General features: G+C 40.1%; 1 protein-coding gene and 1 long non-coding RNA gene across 8 annotated transcripts in view; one reads left to right on the top strand and one right to left on the bottom strand.

Annotated features, from left to right (window-relative positions):
- The window catches only part of LOC105372499 (uncharacterized), a 37,633-nt gene extending 21,530 nt beyond the window's left edge, over positions 1–16,103 (top strand). The window contains exons 3-4 of the long non-coding RNA XR_001754464.2: positions 5,667–5,922; positions 15,958–16,103. This is a non-coding gene — a long non-coding RNA (uncharacterized LOC105372499). The remainder of the gene's footprint in view (positions 1–5,666; positions 5,923–15,957) is intronic.
- Positions 161–23,615, bottom strand: SIRPD (signal regulatory protein delta). 7 transcript variants are annotated; one of them, NM_178460.3, is made up of 4 exons: positions 23,491–23,615; positions 17,601–17,948; positions 3,065–3,220; positions 161–351 (listed from the first exon to the last, which is right to left on the bottom strand). In NM_178460.3, the coding sequence occupies exons 1-4, from the start codon at positions 23,561–23,563 to the stop codon at positions 335–337; spliced, it is 594 nt and encodes a 197-aa protein (NP_848555.2). In that variant the 5' UTR covers positions 23,564–23,615; the 3' UTR covers positions 161–334. The 7 variants fall into 7 exon arrangements, with proteins under 7 accessions (NP_848555.2, NP_001397731.1, XP_047295839.1 ...); NM_001410802.1 differs by having other exon boundaries at positions 3,065–3,223; XM_047439883.1 differs by having other exon boundaries at positions 3,065–3,238.
- Between the last annotated feature and the right edge of the window lie 296 nt (positions 23,616–23,911).

Below are 23,911 nucleotides of genomic sequence, written 5' to 3' on the forward strand. Positions count from 1 at the left end.
AACGTCCATGACAGACTAGCTGGAAAAGTTTTTAAAAAAAATGTACGCAGGTTTCAGCATATGAAAGTTAGAGCACATTTTCAGGCTGCAATAAATAGTAGAGGCAGGTTGGTACCAAGGCAAGCAGAGAGGTCGATGAAACAGAAGAGAGAACCTGGAATTGGACCCAGGTAAATAGACAGATTTATTGTACGATCAAGCTGGCATTTTATGTCAGTGGAAGAAAGCTCTCTTGAAGAAGGCAAATGAAACTCCTAAAAAGTAGCTGTCTCCAGGGAGTCAGAAGAGTATGGGGGCTTTTGTTATTTACTTGTACGTTCCTTCCCTGTTTGGATTATTTTGACAGCAAGCCTGAAATACAATAAAAATAAAATAAAATAAAACATTTCTCCCTCCTGCAAGCTAAGAGCAGACACAATTTTTAGAATATTAGCTTAGCAAACATGAAAAAGATTGCCAATTTTCTGTGTTGCTAAGGTTGTGGTGAGGCAGGCGCTCCCACATACTGCTGGTGGGAATAACAATGGACACGATCTCTCTAGATGGCAATACAGCATCACAGTCATGATCTTATGATCTATGTCCACGTGACAAACCCATATTTAAACAAGTAAAGTGGAGATACTTTAACCAAATCTGTTTTGGTCCCAAATGTTCAAAATACCCCCTGTCCATTGCTGCTGCTTCTGTGCTGGGTGTGGTGAGATAATATATTACTGATATTGAGACACTCACGTTTCATTGGGAAATGGCTTTTGAAACCAAAAAACACTTTTGAAATGCAATTTCCCAATAAAACTCATACCCTTTGATTTAGTAATTCCTCTTTGACGGCCTTATTCAAAAGAAACAATCAGACAAGGGTGAATATGATTTGTAAAGGAATGGTAATCATAGTATTTACAATATAGAAAAGTTTGATGCATGGCCCATGTCCAAGAATAGGAGTGAGTTAGATAAATGATGGTACAACCACAAAATGGAAAACTATGTAGAGATTGAAATGATAGTGTTGATGTATATATTGGGGATGTATTGATGATGTTGCAGACACATATATATTTACATAGAAAAGGGTCCCCAATTTATCATTGAGTAAAAGAACAAATAAACCACCATATTTTGTGTAATCTTATTTTTGTTAAAAGTTCGATGTATCTAGAAGCAGCACAGTGAAGAGGTCAAAGTAAGAGCTAGTGGAGTCCCATTGACCCAGGTTTCAATGCCTCCTCTATTGCTTGATTGCTATAGTTTAAATATTTGTCCCCTCCAAAATTCATGTTGAAATTCAATCCTCAATGTGCAGTATTGAGAGGTAGGGTCTTTAAGAGGTGATTGGGTCATAAGGACTCTGCGTTATTTCACAAATTAGTGGATTAATGGGTTATCATGGGAGGGGAACTGTTGGTTTTATAAGAAGAGAGAGAGAGACCCAAGTATAGTATGCTAGCATGCTCAGTCCCCTCACCATGTGATACCCTGTGCTGCCTCAGGACTCTTTAGAGAGTCCCCACCAGCAAGAAAGCTCTCACCAAATATGGCCCCTTGACCTTGAACATCTCAGCCTTTACAACTATAAGAAATAGGTTCTTTTTCTTTATAAATAATCCAGTTTCATGTATTCTATTCTAAGCAACAGAAAAAGGACTGACATTGGTGTTTTACTTTGCGAAAATAACCTCCCTGAGGCTCTGTTTTCTTATCTATGTAATGTATACAATGTGGAAAGTAAAACTTCCTCTTGCAATTTTGTTGTGATACTGAAACCTGAAAATCTTTGAGAAACACTCAGGACTGTGCTCATAGAAGGACTTCTGTGAAATGGGCTTTCCATTCTTAACTGCAAGTCCAGTAGGCCAGGCTCCAGCCCTGACAACCTGGTGATTCTAGGAAGCGCACACCATTGCTTGGCTTTCAGTTCCTTCTTCTACCAAGCCTGATGGACCTTTCTCAGTTCCCATGACTTCTGTGAGTTCTAAGTGAAGACATAGACTTGCCAAAGACACAGAGTGAGAGTTGCAATGGCCGGATGCAGCAGGACTATTTTCGTGGGCTCATATTTGCACTTATTAAGCCCTAAAAGGCTGTAACAACCAGAGCTCACATAGGTGGTTCTGTGTGCTACACATTACTCCAAAAACTTAACTATATTAATTAACTAGTTTGATTCTCACCACAACTGTATTGGAAAGGCATTATTATTTATCCCGATTTCACAGACAAGAAAACAGAGGCACAGAGAAGTTGAGTAACTTATCCATAGTCAAACAGCCTACAAATGATGAAACTTGCATTTGAACCCCGGCCTGTCGTTTTTTTTTTTTTTTTTAATGCCTGTGCTTTTAACCACTTTATTAGTTGGACTCTAAATTGAGATGTTAACACCACTGGGAGAAGAATGGTTGCCTCTCCTGACTGTGCAGATCATCTTTGGAGAGAAGAGAGTAGACAGGCAGGAGAAACACCCGCATCAAGAACGTAATCCTAGGTTTCTGAGATTCTGGGAGACTTACTAGTCTAAAAAGGACCATTTAGCAATTTTTTCTAATAGTTCTACATTGCATGTGTAGTACTTGTTGTTATCTATCTACCTATCTATCTATCTAATCTATCTATTAATCACCTATGCATCCATGTGTACTCATCTTAATGACAGCATCCCTGTCTCCCTCCTGGGGACCAAGGGGTCAAATGCTGCTCCTCTACTTCTTCTCTCAGGATGGCATCAGGTCCTGCAGGTCAGGCCTAGGGGGTCGTGGAACCTTCACAGGACATCAGGGGTGTGGGAAGTGAGAGGGACTGGGCACCCCTGTCATGGGGAAACGCCTGGATGGGAGAGAAAGCAACCCCTCCAAGCAAGAAGAATTCTGGAAGGATTTGTTTTGGAGACACTAGTTATAAAACAAACTATTTAGGGAAGTGTCTTAAAGAGGAAGGGGTGGCAAAGAAAGAGGCCCTAGGACAACAGAGATTCATCCGCCCCACTGCAGGTGGCGAAATGGTACCGCCGCCAAACTCAGGAGAGCATCCCTGCATCATGGTACCTGAGGGTGGGGGCACTCACCTGTGAGTCCCAGCAGCCGGAGGCAGCAGCAGGGTTGGACGAAATAGTTTGTGCTGTTTCTCTCAGGCAGGGCCGAGAGGCAGGTATGGGCATCATGGTGGGCCCTGGAGCCTGCTCTGCCTGCAGGTCTGTTCTTGGGAGGTCTTGGATTCTGCTCTGCTGAGAGAGGCAAAACTATGTGTTCCATGATATAAGAGGAAGTTACTATGATGGGAGGAAAGGGCTGTAGGATTATGACCGTTCCAGTTTCTAGATTGTGAAATAGGAATCAGACACAAGCTAATAAGTTACTGATATAAGGGTCCCAAGGTGCTTGGAGGGGCCCTGGCAGACACCCTTAGTGCCTAGGCTGTGTCCTTTGGGCCCCTCACTTTGTGTCAGGTGTGCTGGTGACCCTTCCTCATCCAGGAGCCCAGGAACAGGGTCTGCCATAGAGAACGGTGTGTCCAGCCTCCTGTGATAGTCCAAGACCTGGGCTCAGATGAGCTGTGCAGCTAGTCAGGAGGAGGGCTCCCGGGAATGGGGCTTCACAGGTGTGGATCCCTGTTTTTCCCCACTCCAGAGGTGTCAGTTGTAAAAATGATCCTGAAGCCATATCTGATGGGAGGCTTTGGCTCTTCAAAGTACGCTTACAGGGGAAGTGACTTTGAGTGAGCAAGGAGTTCGATCTTGGGAGGAGGAGGATAGTTTCTGTTTTAGAGAAAAGGGGAAGAAGCCTGTGTGTGTCAAGCGGGGGGTGCAGGGCCTTAGTGTGCTCATACTGCAGGAACAGTGACATGCAGAAACGCAGCTGGGAGGAGGAGGGGTATCTCTTTTTTCTGTCCCTAGTCTGGGGCCACCTCTTGGGAGAAGGGAGTGGAGGAGATGTAGAAACACTCACACCAAGAATACATCTCCTCTCCTCCTTCTGAGCAGCAGCCACCTGCACATGAAATCACATTCAGAGCCTCTAGCCATGAGCTCATCACTTCTGTGGACCCAGTGCCAGACACTGCCTCCTGTGACTCAGTTTCCCCACTGCTCCCCACCCCTGCCTCCTTACCAGTGGCTGACCGGATGTTGGTGATGAGAATGGTGATGAGAAGGGGTGGAATGAAAGGGGCCAATCAGCGATGAGATTTGATTGCTCTGTAGCATGATGAGTGTCCCTCTCCCCTCGACACCTTATTCTAGCTTGTTAAACATTTTTTCTGAGAGGGATTTCTTGACAAGGAACTGGCCAGAGTGTTCCGTTTAGCACTCTTTGTTCTAACTCTAATCCCTGTCTTCACTGATGACAGATTCTATTTTCTAGAGCTGACTGCAACAAGGTCCCTCTTCACTCATGCTCTTCGACACTCTTCCCATGGAGATGTAGGCATATGTTCCCTCCCCCTGAGTTTGGGCAGGTCTGTGACTGCAACAGAAGGGATGTGATGTGACTTCTGAGGCTAGACCATAATAATTCCCTGCATTTCTACCTGGCTTTCTTGGGATGCTAATTTTTGGAACCTTGCCACCATGCTATGAGGAAGCCCAAACTAGCATGCATGAAGAGATCACATTGCAGGGACACATGTAAGAGTTCTAACTGACATCCCAGCTAAGATGCAGCCAATATCCATTATCAATCATCAGACATGTAAAAGAAGAAGCTTCCAGATGACCCAGCAGTTGAGTCATCCCCAGGTGAGTTTCCCAACTGAGACCCCAGGCAACATATAGCAGAGATAAGTCATTCTTGTACCCTGTCTGAATTCCTTACCCACAGTGTCATTGATCATAATAAGATGGTTGTTTTTTTGACCTTGTGTTTTGGGGTGTTTTGCTATGCAGCAGTAGTAACTAGACAGCACCCTTGGCAACATCTTCCCCACCCCCACTGACCACACTAAAATTAAACCTTTGTCATTGTTTTAGTAAATTGTTGTAATGGATGCTTTCATTACTGGGTTTCAATCATTTTTATTTTTCTGATATAGGGATTTAAGGCTATAAATTCCAAGTACAGCAGTAACTACATGCCTCAAGTTTAATGTGCAGTATTTTAATTATTATTTAGTCCAAAATATTTTCTAGTATCTGTGGTAATTTCTTTTTTGATAAATCAGTTATTTAGATTATTTCCCAAATTCCTAATATATGAGGATTTTCTAATGATCTTTTTGTAAATATTTATAGTTTAATTCCACAATGATCAGAAAACATACTTATATAATTTTGATATTTCAAGATTTGTTGAGACTTGCTTCTTGACCAAGCTTATGATTAATTTTAGTTAATATCTCACATGGGCTTGAAAAGGAGCTGTGTTTTTCAGTTGTTGGGTGCAGTGCTCAATTACATCAAATTTGTTAATCACCTTGATCAAATCTTTTGTATCCTTACTGACATTTTGTCTGCATGTCCTCCTAGTTACTGAGAGAACTGCTGTGGTAGTCAGCCTTTGAGATTATCTCCAGCTCCTGGCATTCACCCCACTATGTAATCCCTTCCTCTGGATCTAGTGATTCACTTCTAATGAAAAAGTAAAAGTAACAGGATGTCACTTCTGAAATTAGCTTATAAAGAAATTGTGACTTGTATCTTCTTCTTCCCCTCTCTCCTGCTTCTTGAGGAGAAGCAGCTGCCATGTTGTGAGCTGTCCTATGGAGAAGCCCATGTAGCAGATATCTGATGTCTTCAGCCAGTTGCCCGCAAGGATCTGAGGCCTGCCAATAGCCATGGGAGTGAGCTTGAAGTGGATTCTTCTCCAGTTGAGCCTTTGGATTATTGCATTATTGGCAGACACCTTGATTGCAGCCTTAAAAGAGACCTTAAACCAAGATCACTCAACCTAAACTATGTCTAGAATCCTGACTCACAGACACTGGGAGACAGTAAGTGTTTGTTGTTTGAAATCACTAAGTTTTGGGTAATTTGTTATGCAGCATAGATGACTAATACAGATTTGTTAAGAATCTGGTAGCTTAATTGTGAGAAGGCAATGTGAAAATGGAACACAGAGAGATTTAAAGACACTGGCCTTGAAGATTTATTCTATGCTGCTGACAGGCCAGGGATGCTGGCAGCAAACCAGAAGCCAAAAGAGAAAGGGAATATGTTCTCTCCTAGAACCTCCAGAAGGAGCAGTTCTGCTGATGCCTTGATTTCAGTCCAGAGATGCAGATTTCAGACTTCTGGCTTCTAGAACTGTAAGAGACTAAATTTGGTTTTTAAACAACTTTATTGAGATGTACTTCATACACCATACAATTTACACATTTAAAATGTACAATTCAATATTTGCAGATATTTGTCTGTAGATATGTGCAATCATAACCACAGTCATTTTGAACATTTTTATCATCTCAAAAAAGACTCCATGCCTTTCATGTAATAACCTCCATTTTCCCTATCTTTCCACCATCCCCCAAATCATAAGAAATGTTCTGTCTTTAATCTACTTTCTGTCTCTATAGATTTGCCTATTCTGAGTATGTCATATACATGGAATTATTTAAAAAATTGATTTTTTAAATTATACTTTAAGTTCTGGGATACATGTGCAGAACCTGCAGGTTTGTTACACAGTTATACATGTGCCATGGTCATTTGCTGCACCCATCAACCCAACATCTACATTAGGTATTTCTCCTAATGCTGTCTCTCCTCTTGTCCCCCACCACCCAACAGGCCTTGGTGTGTGATGTTCTCCTCCCTGTGCCCATATGTCCTCGTTGTTCAACTCCCACTTATAAGTGAGAATATGTGGTGTTTATTTTTTTGTTCTTGTGTTAGTTTGCTGAGAATGATGGTTTCAGCTTCATCCATGTCCCTGGAAAGGACATAAACTCATTCTTTTTTATGGCTGCATAGTATTCCATGGTGTATATGTGCCACATTTTCTTTATCTATCCTATCATTGATGGGCATTTGGGGTGGTTTCAAGTCTTTGCTATTGTGAATACTGCTGCAATAAACATACATGTGCATGTGTCTTTATAGTAGAATGATTATAATCCTTTCGGTATATACCCAGTAATGGGATTGCTGGGTCAAATGGTATTTCTAGTTCTAGATCCTTGAGGAATCACTGCACTGTCTTCCACAATGGTTGAAGTAATTTACACTCCCACCAACAGTGTAAAAGCATTCCTATTTCTCCACATCCTCTCCAGTATCTGTTGTTTCCTGACTTTTTAATGATCACCATTCTAACTGGCCTGAGATGGTATCTCACTGTGGCTTTGATTTGCATTTCTCAAATGACCAGTGATGATGAGCTGTTTTTCATTTGTTTGTTGGCTGCATAAATGTCTTCTTTTGAAAAGTGTCTGCTCATATCCTTCGCCCACTTTTTGATGGGGTTGCTTGTTTTTTTCTTGTACATTTGTTCATGTTCCTTGTAGATTCTGGATGTTAGCCCTTTGCCAGATGGATAGATTGCAAAAATTTTCTCCCATTCTGTAGCTTGCCTGTTCACTCTGATAATAGTTTCTTTTGCTGTGCAGAAGCTCTTTAGTTTACTTAGATCCCATTTGTCAATTTTGGCATTTGTTGCAATTGCTTTTGGTGTTTTAGTCATAAAGTCTTTGCCCATGCCTATGTCCTGAATGGTATTGTCTAGGTTTTCTTCTAGGGTTGTTATGGTTTTAGGTCTTACATTTACATCTTTAATTCATATTGAGTTAATTTTTGTATAAGGGGTAAGGAAGGGGTCCAGTTTTAGTTTTCTGCATATGGCTAGCCAGTTTTCCCAACACCATTTATTAAATAGGGAATCCTTTCCCCATTGCTTATTTTTGTCAGGTTTCTCAAAGATCAGATGGTTGTAGATGTGTGGTGTTATTTCTGAGGCCTCAGTTCTGTTCCATTGGTCTATATATCTGTTTTCATATCAGTACCATGCTGTTTTGGTTACTGTAGCACTGTAGTACAGTTTGAAGTCAGGTAGCATGATGCCTCTAGCTTTGCTCTTTTTTGCTTAGGATTGTCTTGGCTATACGAGCTGTTTTTTGGTTCCATATGAAATTTAAAGTCATTTTTTTCTAATTCTGTGAAAAAAGTCAATGGTAGCTCGATGGGAATAGCATTGATTCTATAAATTACTTTGGGCAGTGTGGCCATTTTCACGATATTGATTATTCCTATCCATGAGAGTGGAATGTTTTTTGTTTGTGTCCTCTCTCTTATTTCCTTGAGCAGTGGTTCGTAGTTCTCCTCAAAGAGGTCCTTCACATCCCTTGTAAGTTGTATTCCTAGGTATTTTATTCTCTTAGTAGCAATTGTGAATGGGAGTTCACTCATGATTTGGCTTTCTGATTGTCGATTATTGATGTATAGGAATGCTTGTGATTTTTGCATATTGATTTTGTATCCTGAGACTTTGTCGAATTTGCTTATTAGCTTAAGGAGTTTTGGGGCTGAGATGATGAGGTTTTCTAAATATACAATCATGTCATCTGTAAACAGAAACAATTTGACTTCCTCTCTTCCTATTTGAATACCCTTTATTTCTTTCTCTTGCCTGATTGCCCCAGCCTGTACTTCCCATACTATGTTGAATAGAAGTGGTGAGAGAGGGCATTCTTGTCTTGCTCTGGTTTTCAAAGAGAATGCTTCCAGCTTTTGTCCATTCAGTATGATACTGGCTGTGTCATAAATAGCTCTTACTATTTTGAGCTACATTTCATCAATACCTAGTTTATTGAGTGTTTTTAGCATGAAGGGTGTTGAATTTTATTGAAGGCCTTTTCTGCATCTATTGAGATAATTGTGGTTTTTGTCATTGGTTCTGTTTATGTGATGGATTACGTTTATTGATTTCCATATGTTGAACCAGCCTTGCATCCCAGGGATGAAGCTGACTTGATCATGGTGGATAAGATTTTTAATGTGCTGCTGCATTCGGTTAGCCAGTATTTTATTGAGGATTTTTGCATCGATGTGTTCATCAGGGATATTGAACTGAAATTTTCTTTTTTTGTTGTGTCTCTGCCAGGTTTTGGTATCAGGATGATGCTGGCCTCATAAAATGAGTTAGGGAGGAGTCCCTCTTTTTCTATTGTTTGGAATAGTTTTAGAAGGAATGGTATCAGCTCCTCTTGTACCTCTGGTAGAATTCGGCTGTGAATCCATCTGGTCCTTGGCTTTTTTGGGTTGGCAGGCTATTAATTACTGCCTCAATTTCGGAACTTGTTATTGGTCTATTCAGGGATTCAACTTCTTCCTGGACTAGACTTGGGAGGGTGTATGTGTCCAAGAATTTATCCATTTCTTCTAGATTTTCTAGTTTATTCGCATGGAGGTGTTTATAGTATTCGCTGATGGTAGTTTGTATTTCTGTGGGATCAGGGTATTCCCTTCTTCATTTTTTATTGTGTCTATTTGATTCTTCTCTCTTTTCTTCTTTATTAATCTACTCTATCTGTTTTGTTAATGTTTTAAAAAAAACAGCTCCTTGATTCACTGATTTTTTGAAGGGTGTTTTGTGTCTCTATTTCCTTCAGTTCTGCTCTGATCTTAGTTACTTCTTGTCTTCTGCTATCTTTTGAATTTGTTTGCTCTAGCTTCTCTAGTTCTTTTGTGATTTTAGGGTGTCTATTTTAGATCTTTCCTGCTGTCTCCTGTGGGCATTAGTGCTATAAATTTCCCTCTAAACACTGCTTTAAATGTGTCCCAGAGATTCTGTAAATTGTGTCTTTGTTCTCATTGGTTTCAAAAACTTATTTATTTCTGCCTTAATTTCATTATTTACCCAGTAGTCATTCAGGAGCAGGTTGTTCAGTTTCCATGTAGATGTGCAGTTTTGAGTGAGTTTCTTAATCCTGAGTTCTAATTTGATTGCACTGTGATCTGAGAGACTGTTATGATTTCCATTCTTTTGCATTTGCTGAGGAGTGTTTTACTTCCAATTATGTGGTCAGTTTGAGAATAAGTGAGATATGGTGCTGAGAAGAATGTATATTCTGTTGATTTGGGGTGGAGAGTTCTGTAGATGTCTATTAGGTCTGCTTGGTCCAGAGCTGAGTTCAAGTCCTGAATATCCTTGTTAATTTTCTGTCTCATTGATGTATCAAATATTGACAGTGGGATATTAAAGTCTCCCACTATTATTGTGTGGGTGTCTAAATGTCTTTGTAGGTCTCTAAGAACTTGCTTTATGAATCTGGGTGCTCTTGTATTGAGGGCATATATATTTAGGATAGTTAGCTCTTTTTGTTTTATTGATGCCTTTACCATTATGCAATGCCCTTCTTTGTCTTTTTTGATCTTTGTTGGTTTAAAGTCTGTTTTATCAGAGACTAGGATTGCAACAACTGCTTTTTTTTTTTTTTTGCTTTCCATTTGCTTGGTAGATCTTCCTCCATCCCTTTATTTTGAGCCTATGTGTATCTTTTCATGTGAGATGGGTCTCCTGAATACAACACACCGATGGGTCTTGACTCTTTATCCAATTTGCCAGTCTGTGTCTTTTAATTGGGGCATTTAGCCCATTTACATTTAAGGTTAATATTGTTATGTGTGAATTCGATCCTGTCATTATGATGCTAGCTGGTTATGTTGCCCATTAGTTGATGCAGTTTCTTCATAGTGTCAATAGTTTTTACATTTTGGCGTGTTTTTGCTGTGTCTGGTACCAGTTTTTCCTTTCCATATTTAGTACTTCCTTCAGGAGCTCTTGTAAGGCAGGCCTGGTGGTGACAAAATATCTGCATTTGCTTGTCTGTAAAGGATTTTATTTATCTTCATTTATGAAGCTTTTTTTGGCTGGATATGAAATTCTGGGTTGAAAATTCTTTTCTTTAAGAATGTTGAATGTTGGTCCTCACTCTCTTCTGGCTTGTACGGTTTCTGAAGAGAGATCTGCTGTTAGTCTGATGGGCTTCTCTTTGTGGGTAACCCAATCTTTCTCTCTGGCTGCCTTAACATTTTTCACTTCATTTCAACCTTGGTGAATCTGGCGATTGTGTGTCTTGGGGTTGCTCTTCTCGAGGAGTATCTTTGTGGTGCTCTCTGTATTTCCTGAATTTGAATATTGGCCTGTCTTTCTAAGTTGGGGAAGTTCTCCTGGATAATATCCTGAAGTGTGTTTTCCAACTTGGTTCCATTCTCCCCATCACTTTAGGTACACCAATCAAACGTAGGTTTGGTCTTTTCAACATAGTCCCATATTTCTTGGAGGGTTTGTTCATTCTTTTTCACTCTTTTTTCTCTAATCTTGTCTTCATACTTTATTTCATTAAGTTGATCTTCAATCTCTGAAATCCTTTCTTCTGGTTGATTGATTCAGCTCTTGATACTTCTGTATGCTTCATGAAGTTCTCGTGTTGTGTTTTTCAGCTCCATCAGGTCATTTATGTTCTTCTCTAAACTGGTTATTCTAGTTAGCAGTTCCTGCAACCTTTTATCAAGTTTCTTAGCTTTCTTGCATTGGGTTAGAACATGCTCTTTTAGCATGGAGGAGTTTGTTATTACCCGCCATCTGAAGCCTACTTCTGTCAATTCGTCAAACTCATTCTCCATCCAGTTTTGTTGCCTTGCTGGCGAGGAGATGTCATTCTTTGGAGGAGAAGAGACATTCTGGTTTTTGGAGTTTTCAGCTTTTTTGCGCTGTTTTTTCCTCATTTTCATGGATTTATCTACCTTGATCTTGGATGTTGGTGACCTTCTGATGGGATTTTTGCATGCTCATCCTTTTTGTTGATGTTGATCCTGTTGCTTTCTGTTTGTTAGTTTTCCTTTTGACAGTCAGGCCACTCTTCTGCAGGTCTGCTGGAGTTTGCTGGAGGTCCACTCCAGATCCTGTTTTCGTGGGTATCACCAGTGGAGACTGCAGAACAGCAAAGATTGCTGCCTGCTCCTTCCTCTGGAAGCTTCATCCCAGAGGGGCACCTGCCAGATGCCAGCCAGAGCTCTCCTGTATGAGGTGTCTGTCGACCCCTGCTGGGAGGTGTCTCCCCATCAGGAGGCACGGGGGTCAGCGACCCACTTGAGGAGGCAGTCTGTCCCTTAGCAGAGCTCAAGCGCTGTGCTGGGAGATCCACTGCTCTCTTCAGAGCCGGCAGGCAGGAATGTTTAAGTCTGCTGAAGCTGTGCCCACAGCTGCCCCTTCCCCCCGGTGCTCTGTCCCAGGGAGATGGGAGTTTTATCTATAAGCCCCTGACTGGGGCTGCTGTCTTTCTTTCAGAGATGTCCTGCACAGAGAGGAAGAATCTAGAGAGAATAAGTGACCTTTTGTGATTTTATTCTTTAACTTAGCATATGCTTTCAAGGTTTATCCATGTTGCTGCATGTCTTAGTATGTCATTCCTCTTCATAGCCTAATAATATTCCACTGTATGTATAGATCATACCTTGCTTTTCCATTCATCAGTTGATAGATGTTTGGATTGTTTCTACCTTTCAGATAGTGTGAATGCTGTTATAAACATTTGTGCACAAATTTTTGTGTGAACATATGTTTTCATTTCTCTTGAGTAAATACCTAGGAGTGGAATAGCTGGGTCATATAGTAACTTATGTTTGACTGTTTGAGGAGCTGCCTATCTATTTTCCAAAGTGGCTTCACCATTTTGCATTTCCACCTGCAGTGTATGAGGTTTACAATTCCTCTACATTCTCATAAACATTTGTTATCTGATTTTTGATTTTAGCTATCCTTATGAGTGCAAAGTTGTATTTCATTATAGTTTTGATTTGCATTTCCCTGAGGATAAATTATGCTGAGCTCCTTTTGATGTGCTTATTGGCAATTTGAATATCTGCTTTGGAGAAATTCTTTATATATTCTAAACTCAAGGCCCTTATCAGATATGTAATTTGCAAATATTTTTCCCATTCTGTGGGTTATCTTTTTACTTTCTTGATAATGTCCTTTGAAGCATAAAAGGTTTTAATTTTTATGAAGTCCAATATATCTATTTTTTCTTTTGTTTCTCATGCTTTTGATACTATGCTTAAGAAGCCAATGCAAAATCTGATGTCATTAAGATTTATCCCTATGTTTTATTATAAAAGCTTTATAGGTATTTTTAGGCTTTCAAACCATTTTGAGTTAATTTTTGTATATGGTGTGAAGTAGGGTTCAACTTCATTGTTTTCTGTGTGTGGCTATCCAGTTGTTTCAGCATTATTTGTTGAAAAGATGCTTCTTTCCTCATTATCACACTTGTTGAAAATCAGTTGACCACAGATACATGGGCTTGTTTCTGGACTCTCTCTTTTCCATTGGTCTATAGGTCTATCCTGTTCCAGTACCACATTATCTTGATTGATGTGGACTTGTAGTGAACTTTTATTTTTATTTTATTTATTTATTTTTAGAGATGAGATTTCACTGTGTTCACCAGGCTGGCCTCAAACTCCTGTCCTCAAGCGATCCTCCCATCTCAGCCTCCCAAAGTGCTGGGATTACAGGCGTGAGCCATTGCGTCCAGCCTGTAGTAAGTTTTGAAAGAAAAACGTGTGTTCTCCTACTTTATTTTTCAGGATTGTTTTGGCTATTCTGGATCCTTCATATTTCCACATGAATGTTAAGATCAGCTTGTCAATTTCTACAAAAAAGTAGGTTGGGATTCTGATAAGGATTGTGTTGGATCTGTAGACCAGTTTGGGGGAATAGTGCCATCTTAAGAATGTTAAATCTTCTGGTCCATGAAAATGGGAAAATTTTCAATTTGTTTAGATCTTCTTTCATTTAACATTTTTTTGTAGTTTTCAGAGTATAAATTTGCACTTCTTTTGTTAAATTTATTTTTATTTTTAGTGTTCATTCCAAGTGTGTGGAAATGTAATAGATTTTTGTATATTGAACTGTACTCTCAAGCTTGCTGAACTTGCTCAGTAGTTTGAATAGTTTTTTAGTGGGTTCCTTAGGATTTTCTATGTACAAGAACATGCCATTTGTCAATAGAGATAGTTTTACTTCATTCTTTCCAATTTGGATTGTTTTTATTACTTAATTGTCCTGACTAAAAATTTTAGTACAACGTTGAGTAGAAATGGTGATAGGAGATATCCTTGTGTTATTCTTGATCTACTGGGGACAGCATCTAACCATCCTCATTAATTGTGACATTGGCTGTGGCTTTCGGTTTTGCTAAATATGATGTTAGCTATGGGTTTTGCATCCATGCTCTTTATCAGGTTGATAAAGTTCCCTACTATTCCTAGTTTTTTGAGTACCTTTTTAAATAAAAGAATTTTAGATTTTACCAAATTCCTTTTTTTTTATCATCTTGAGAGGATTATGTGGTTTTCTTTTTTATTTTATTGATATTGTGTTGTATTAAATTAATTGACATTCAGATATTAAACCAACCTTGTATTCATGGGATAAATCCCACTTGGTCAACATGAATAATGCTTTCTATATGTTGCTGGTTTCAGTTTGCTAGTATTTTCTTAAGGGATTTTTGTGTCCATATACGTAAGATATATTTGATCTGTGTTTTTTTCTTGTGATGTCTTTGTCTGGTGTCGATATCAGGGTAATTTTTTATTACTAATTTAATCTGTTTAGTTGTTATAGGTATCTTGAAATGCTCCATTATTTTTGGGCCAGTTTTGGTAATTTTTATGTCTTCTAGGAGTTTGTCTTTTTCATCATATAAACCTAGTTTATAGGCACACATTTTTTCATAGTATTCTTTAATATTCCTTTTTATTTCTATAAAGTTGCTAGTAATGTTCCTTCCTTCATTTCTGATTCTAGTAATTTGAGTTTCCTTTTTCAGTCTCCGGTCCAGCTGACTAAATAGACTTGAGAAGTTTTCAGCTATTCTTTCTTTGAATATTTTTTTCTGCTGTTTTCTCTTTCTCCTCTCCTTCTGCTATCCCTATTACATGTATGCGGTGTGCTTAATGATGGCTTACATTTCTCTGAGGCTCTGTTCATTTTTTAAATGTTATTTTCATTTAATTTTTCTCTGTTCTTCAGATTCCATAATTTATATTAATCTATTTTCAAATTTGCTAAATCTGCTTCTTCAAATCTACTGTTAATCCCCTCTAGGGTAATTTTTCTTTCAATTGTTGTACTTTTGAATAATAAAATTTCCATTTGGTTCTTTTTAATAATTTCTGTTTATTGATATCTTCTATTTGATGCAACATTATCATGTTACTTTCTTGTACTTATTTAATCATGGTTTGTTTAATCATGTTTCTTTGAACATATTTGTAATGGTTACACCAAATGCTTTGCCTGTTAAGTTTGACATCTGATGGCCATAACAAGCAGTTTCTGATACCTTTTTTTTTTTGGTTTGTTTTTGGTATACTTGTCATAGTTTTCTGTTCTATTGCATGTCTCACTTTTTTTGAAACTGGACATCTTAGATAATACATTGTAGAAACTCTGGATATTGGTCTTCCTCACAACCACCGAGGCTTGTTATTGTCATCTGCTTGTACAGTTGTTGAGTGACTGGATGGATTATTTTGGTGCAGTTGATTCCTCTTCTTTGCCATGGGGTATAGCCTTTGACAGGGAAAAGGTGGGTTTTGGTTCAAATATCAGACTTTTACTTTTCTTCCCCAGTTTTAGTAGTTTAAAAATTATTTCTTCATTTATGATATGCCCTTAATACTATTTCCAGAGCCTCTAAATATTTTTTAAAAATAATTTTCACCAGTTTCCATGGAGTGGGCCCTTGGAACTCCTTGTGCTGTTATGCCACCCATAGTGGTCTATTTCTGTTGTTTTAAGCCATCAAATTTGTATCCATTAGTTACACCAACTACAAGAAACGAATACATAGCTAAGTATTTTAAAAACATATGTATACATTTTTATTTATTAAGAAATGGCATAAATTTGGTACATTTCTGACTCAGAACATTTGAATGTTAATAAAGATATTGAACTCATTCACAGTATTCTCCCTCTAAACAGCTGTCATGCACTCCTATATCTCCACTCTAACTAGAGACTTCTTACTAAGAAGGAGGCAAAGCCATAAACCCAAAGGGTTCCGAGAAGAGTCTACCTGGGTTCCAGTACCCATAACCTGGAAGACAAGCCCATTAACCTTTCAGAGGCTCAACTTCCTCATCTGATAAGGTAGGGTGTGGACCATGTGGTGGATGAACATATTTTGTTTTCAACCTGCTTAGCATTTGTTCCATTGGGTTGATTGGTTATCTCCCATGGACCTCCTCTCCCTAGCAACAACGAATAAAATGTTGACAACATGGCATACAAAAGGCTAATGTGGATAGTTCCCTAGAACTCATTTGTGAAGGTTGGTAGGAAGAAGCTGTCTTTCCACCTTGGTTGTAAGATGGGGGAATGAATATCAACATTTTCTGCATTTATTTTCGCTATCATATACTGAAGGTTTATATGCAGCAGGAAAGATTAAAGCCATGAAGAGATGAGAGAATTTCAGAGAGCCACAGTCTTGGTAACATTAAGCCCTAAATCCAATCCTTTAGTCCCTGGTTCCAAAAGTTCTGCCTTGAATACTGTGAGGAACCCAGAATCCTCTGCAGGTACAGAATCAATCAACTCATATTTTTGGTTGAAATTAATGCATTTGATCTTCTTTCTTGTAAGTAAATGTTCTTCACTAATATAGAACATACTGGACTGGGCCCAGACCAACCCCACCTCTTTATTCCCTACTATGTACACTCCTGAAATCTCCCTGAGTTAGGTTCCTCATCTGTACAGTGAGTACAAGCATCCAGCAATTCAAATGTTGCTGTGTAGATAATATAGATGAAATGTTTGGAATATAGTAGATGCCCAATAAATGTTAGCATTATTGTATTACCAATTTAATAATTTCTCAGGCTGGATATTGCCCAAATTTCACAGGGCACCACAAGTAGCAAAACACTAAGAAAAAGGCTTTGGATGCAGGGAAACATAGATTTGTACTTGCAGTTCAACACACTACAACACACTGTGGGATGTGCGACTTTTATCATTCTTGTAGCCCTTAGGACATTGTTGATTTAAGCAAATTGGCTTAGCAAGGAGATGTTTTCTTTCACATTATTAGAGGTCCAGAGGTGAGATTGGAACAAGGAGCAGTATGGTTGTGCAGATTGTCAATCCACACTTGTTACATATCTGCATTCATCTAGACTTTTTCTCAACCTTATTCCCCTCATGGTCATAAGATGCCTGCTTAAAGCACCTGGAGCAACACAGTTGCTTGTTTCCAGCCAACAAAGGGAAGAATTACTTTAGATTACCAGATTTTTCTGCAAGCCTGTCTTTTTCTCTGATAGACCCAAACTGGCCAAGTTCAGCCCATATTTGAGTAAACCTCTAGCAGGGAACATGGAATTATCCTAGTTGGCTTAGGTTAGTCATGGGGGTGGATTAAATATTGAGAAATCAACCAAAATAGCTCTTATCACTCATCACTCAACCTTTTCAAGTCTTTTTTTCTTCCTGTAAAATACCTAACTCACAGCTTGCTGAGAGAATTAAAAAGATCAAATGTATGTTGTACCTTCAATAATATTTGGCACATAGCAATTATTGAATGAATAGAAGACATAACTGCTGAGATGATATTATACACCAGGGGGTATGGGGTATAGGAGACATACTCACCAGTAACAAACACCTGAGTGCCCCGACCTGATTGGTACTCCTTGATAGCTCTTCCTTTTATGAACTTCACGCAGTAATAGGTGCCAGCATCAGCAAGAGAGATTTCACGGATGCGGGTGGAAAAGTCTGTGTTGCCAGGCTTGGTGGTGTCTCCAATCTCTTTTACTCTGGGAAAGTTACCTTGTTTGAAATTGTAGATTAATTTCCGGTTTGGCCCTGTTCCCTTGAACCACAAGACAGGTCCATTTGGTAAGGTATTGGGTACGCTGCAACTCAAGATGATTGACTCCCCAGTTGATACAGTCTGTGACATCTCCGTTTGTTGCACATGGAACACATGTGTGACTCCTGGAAAAAAGCTGAAAATCATTTCTCATTTCCCCTGTTCTGGCTTAAGCATGGGTACGGGTCACGGTTGGGCCTCATTCATTAATTCTTTTAATGACATGCGCAAATGCCCATGCATTGAGTAAAGAGAGGCCTTTGCACATGGAGGCAGCTTCTCCCTAGAGTGCTGAAGGAAGGGAGTTAGTCCAGAAGACCAGATGTATTCCTCCTCAGTTCCATTCCTCAGCCCTCAACCGTGGTAAGAGGAGGACAGGGAGAGAGAAGGGGCAATTATCAATGGGTAATGTTCTTGGAGAAAGACTAGTTTCCCTATCCATCTAATTGCCTAGAGTCACTCGGTACATTTGGAACTGGGTTCAAGTCCTGTCCTTCAACCCTACATCTCCACTGAGTTTGGGGTTGGCCTTCCTCTCTCCTCTGAAGGGTGATTAGCCTCTGAATTTGTACAGAAATTCATGCTGAGAGATGCACAGAAGAAGTTAAAACAATTAAAGAATGAGGTGGTCTTGGCAACAGCATATGGTTCCACTACTTATCTCTTCAAGAGAGAGAAGGGAGAGGGTTTCCTCTCCTCAACAAAAAGAGATTAGAACCTCAAGGGCCCTCTACAATTTTGGAGGTTCTCACCAGCCACCCTTTACCCTCCTACACAGTCATCATCACTACCCTACAATGTGTCAGGTCCTGGTAATAATCTCTCCTATTAAGCTTGGTTGTCAAAACCACAGACTGCCTAAGGAGCAGGTTAGAGAGAAAGGGAACTCCTGGCTGGCAGGGCCAGGAGGTAATGGTAGGAAGGCAGCCTGCATTGACATTATGTAACTTAAGGGAAACCTGTGGATTTTCCATTGCCATTTTGGCATTATGGAATGTGTCTGGATTCAAGGGAAACATTACTGGGAAGGTCAGTTCTCCTGGTAGAACTGAGGGACACCTAATACCACTGTATTTCATGACGTTAATTCAGAGGGTGGTGAGGAGAAGGAAATACTGGTTATCCTGGGAATAAAAATACTGGGAATTAAAGAACAGTGGGGCTGGGCATGGAAGTCTCAGGACAGACCTGGGAAAGTTCAAGTGTCAGGGAATGACTCAACCCCTATGGGAAGGCTTTTTGCAAAAAAGACTTTGGAGAGATTGATACACAAGACCCCTCATTCTGGTCTAAGAATTCCCTAACAACAGTGCCAGGCCATGGTAGGAGATCACATCCACTCATTGACTTGTATGGGGAATGGGAGTGTGATCTCAGACTGGACTGTGGTGACCACTCAGGTACTTGCTATCAGGTCCCCATCACATTCCAGTTGGTAATGGGAAGGTGACTGGGATCATGGAGGCATGTAGAGATTCTACCTGCCTGAAGAGCCCTTTGTTTTGGCCCAGGAGATACTGGGCATTTTGGGGAAAACTTCACCTATGTTGAGATTCCATCAGAAGCTAAGATGTGGCTACTAGCATCTGTGACTGGAAGTTCAGGGTCATGGAATAAGTCATAATATACACAATGCATATACCTGGGCCCAGGTTTCTTCGTAAAACCTTAGAAGTCAGTCAGCCTTCTAGGACCCAGTTTTCTTACCATTTAGGCCATGCAGTGCACACATGTAGTTGCACCTTGCATATCCAGTATCTTTTTATTTGTAAATGTCTCCTATGTCATTGGGTTCTGGTGGGGTTGGCATCAGAGAAGGATGTGGCTTGTCAACATAGCTTGATTCAGTATTTGGCACAGGTTGTCCAGAATGGCTTACTAGAAAGGCTATTAGAAGAAACCTAGTCTACAGGGTAGTTCGTGGATAAAGGAGCATGGTGTTCAGTATGTAGTGATGATTTGGTACATGGTGAAGGGTTTTAAAGATTCATCTTCATAAACCCAGGGAATAAAGTGCATCAGGCTGTGCTCACCATTCACATACACGGTGGTGCCTGGACCAGAGAAAAACTCCATGTCAGGGTGTCCTACCCTTAACTTCACACAGTAGTAGGTGCCAGCATCCTCTGGCAACACGTCACTGATGCGAATGGAATAGTCAGTTTGATCAACCATTGTGTTTTCCACTGGAGTTACTCTGGGGAAGTGGCTTCCATTGCAACTAAAGATTAATTGTTGTCCTGGCCCAATGCTCTTGAACCACAAGACAGGCCCTTCTGGGGACAGAGCAGACATATTGCAGGCCAGGGTTAGGACATCTCCGGGATTGACTGACACTAAAGTCTGAGGCTATTTCACCTGGAACTCTTCTTCTGGAGTTCCTGGAAATAAACATGGAATCATCTCTTATGTTCTCTGTCTTGGCTCAAGATGCTCTGAGGGTCTGGTTATAGGTCAAGGTGGGATCTCAGTATGATAGCTTTATTTCAGCATCATGTGATGGCACCAGTCATATAAAAATTACAATGCTGGGTGCCATGTGAGGTGAAGGGGAGGTACCAGTGTACAAATAGGAGAATGACACTTTCCTTCTGCATCGGGATATGAGGATGGCCTGCAATATATTAGGCACTAAATAAACATATTTTAAATAAATATATGAGTATATTTTTATTAAATGAGAAAATGCAAAATAGAATTTGGGTCAGATTTTTCTAATTGTCTCAAAATCAGGGATACTGCCCCAAGCTAAGGACAGTATGTTGATAACCAACATACTGCATATGGAGTGACCTGCATATGGAGGCAGCTCCCTCCCATACCGGGTGTTCTGTGGTGTGAAAGGCCACTCATTCACCTCTCCCAGAGTAAACACTGAGGCATGCATTCTCAATGAAGTTGCTATTTTCCATAAAAGGTCACAACTGGTTTTTGGAGTGTAGGATTATCTTAGATATTACAATGGTTGGTTTGTCAATGATCAATTCTACCAAACAAAATCTTATTCCTTAGTACTTAATTGCTCTTGTGTATTCTTGGGTAGCACACAAGCCACACTGACATTGAGTTCATGGCAGATACACAAAATGTCTACAAGATAAGTTCTACAAAATTGCAGTTATTCACAATAGCCAAAATATAGAAACAACTGAAGTGCCCATCAATGTATAAAGGAATAAAAATGTGATTATACACACACATACACACACACAAACATGCAGTAGAATACTATTTAGCTTTTGAAAATCAGAAAATTCTGTCACTTATGACACCATGGATATTATGGTGTGAAATAAGCCAGGCACAGAAAGACAAATACCACATGATCTTGCTTATATGTGGAATGTCGCTTATATGTGGAATCCAAAAAAGTCAAACTCAAAGAAGTAAAGAATAGAATGTTGTTACCAGGGTCTGGGGTGGTGGAGAGTTGGACAAGGAAATGGGAGATGCTGGTCAAAGCCTATAAAGTTGTAGTTAGACATGAGGAATAGGTTCTGGTGATCTATTGCACAGCATGGTGACTATAGTTAATGCATACTTCAAACTAGCTAAAAGAGTAGATTTTAAATGTTCTTACCACAAAGAAGTGATAAGTATGTGAGGTGATGGATATGTTAATTAGCCTGATTTGATCATTTCACTGTGTAGACATGTATAAGAACATCACATTATACCACATAAATATATACAATTATTATTTGTCAATTAAAACCAAGATAAAATTTAAAAAACCATCAAGTTGTACACCTTTAAAAACAAATAAGTTCTACAAAACAATGGAGGACTTTATTTTGAATGGTTTTGCCATCTTACTCGGTATATTCCTTTTCTATCGCTGAATAACAAATTACGACAAACTTAGAGGCTGAATACAACACATATTAATTATTTCACAATTTTTGTCCATTTGTAATTCAGATATAGCTTAGCTGGGTTCTCTGCTTCAAGGTCTCACCAAGCTCCACTCAAGGTGCCAGCTGGGCTGTGTTCTCATCTGGGGGTTTGACTGGGGAAGTGTTCATTCTAAGTTCACTCAGGTTGTTGGCAGAATTCAGGTCTTTGTGGTTGTAGGACTGAGGCCCTCAACTTCTAGGGGCTTCCCTCAGTTCATTGCCATGTGGGCCTTCTCACAGGCAGTTTGCAACATGGCTCCTTGCTTCTTTAAGGCCAGAAGTTGCAAAAAAACTCTAGTGTGATAGATCTTACACAACCTAACATACTCAAGGGGGAGACAGTGCATCACTTTGGCCATATTCTATCAGATAGAAGCATGTCACACACAACTGAGATTACATAAGGGTGGGATAGTTGGGAGTCACCTTACAGTCTGTGTACCTCACCCAATAAGTACAGTTAAAAATTCAAGTGAGTTTTACTAGCTTTAAGTATCTTAAGTTAGCTTTTACCTAAATATTTTTAGTCATCCTTAACTCTCCATTGAATAAAAAGAGGAAGCTTTATAGTTACCCTTCCTATGTATAAAGCACAGACAGATATAAATGCAGTACATAAACCAACAAAGAATATATCTAAGTTATTAAAATTTCATGTTGAGGCTATTATGAGTTGAATTGTATGCCTCCGAAATATATGTTGAAGTCTTAACCACAAGTAGCTCAGAATGTGACCTTACTTGGAAATAGAGTTACAGAGGAAATCAAGTTAAAATGAGGTCATTGAGGTGGGTGCTAATCCAATATGGTGGATGTTTTTATAGGAAGTGGAAATTTGGACACAGAGACAGACATACATGGGAGTAAGATGATGTGAGGATACAGGGAGGGTGGTGCCACCTGCCATCCAACAAATGTTTGAGGCTACCACTGCTAGAAGCTCAGAGACAGACATGGAACAGATTCAACCTCACAGTCCTCAGAAAGAACCAACCCTGCCCACACTTCGATTTTGAATATCTAGTCTCCAGACCTGTGAGAAAATTAATTTCTGTAATTTAAACCACCCAGTTTGCAGTACTTTTTAAGAGCAGCCAAATGCAGTGGCAACAGAGAAATAAAAAACTGAATTTCACAGAAAGAAGTGTAAAATCTGCCAGGGGCCAGGTGTGGTGGCTCACGCCTATAATGCGAGCACTTTGGGAGGCCGAGGCAGGTGGAACTCTTGAGCTCATAAGTTTGAGACCAGCCTGGGCAACATGGTGAAACCCCATCTCTACAAAAAAGACAAAAATTAGCTGGGCATGGTGGCGCGTGCTTGTAGTCCCAGCTACTTGGGAGTTGGAGGCACGAGAATCACTTGAGCCCAGGAGGTGGAAGTTGTAGTGAGCCAAGATCGCACCACTGCACTCCAGCCTAGGTGACAGAGTGAGACCCTGTCTCAAAAAAATAAGTAAAGGTAAAAATAAAATAAAATAAATTACACCCTCCAGAGGCTGGAGGGTGAGAGCTGTGATGGATGCTGTGCCCCGCCCTGTGACCATAGGTGTGAGTCGTTTACCTGAGCAAAGAGATTTGCAACAGACATGGCCACCGGGAGACTTTGTCAGAATTGGGGACCATCCCAGTGTAGTCTTCTGAGTTCTGCCTGTTCTGGGATAAGATGGAGAAAACCCTCCCAAAAGAAATTCTATGGGAACAGGTGAGGGAGAGTTCACTAAACAGGCAGAGGGGAGAACCCACCACACACATACACTGAGGCCCCACTCACCTGCCAGTTCAAGCAGCAGATACAGCAGTAAGGAAGGCAGAGGTGGGTGGAGTGGGGAGGCAGGGATGGGCATTGTGGTGAAACCTGGAGCTTGCTCTGCCTGAATGCCTGTCCTGGAGATGCCCTCGACTCAGTGCTCCGAGCAGAGAAGACAGTTCTTGCCTCTGTGATGTCAGAGGAAGGGGATTGTGATGAGAGGAAAGGCCAGGGGACTGGGACACTTTTTCCTTTGTGATTATAAAATTGAACAGACAAGGTTGCTTCAAGCTAGGAAGTTGCTGCTGGAAGTATTTAGCTTTGCTGGGGCTGGGGGGCTTGACACCCACAGCCTTATACTCCTTCCTGAGTTTCATCCCATCTCACAGGTTCTCCCCAACTTCATGGCCTTTGCCTATCTAGGAGCCTCAGACACATAGGCTAG

This window comes from Homo sapiens, chromosome 20 (assembly GCF_000001405.40).
Source record: "Homo sapiens chromosome 20, GRCh38.p14 Primary Assembly".
In the NCBI taxonomy this organism is placed as follows: Eukaryota; Metazoa; Chordata; class Mammalia; order Primates; family Hominidae; genus Homo; species Homo sapiens.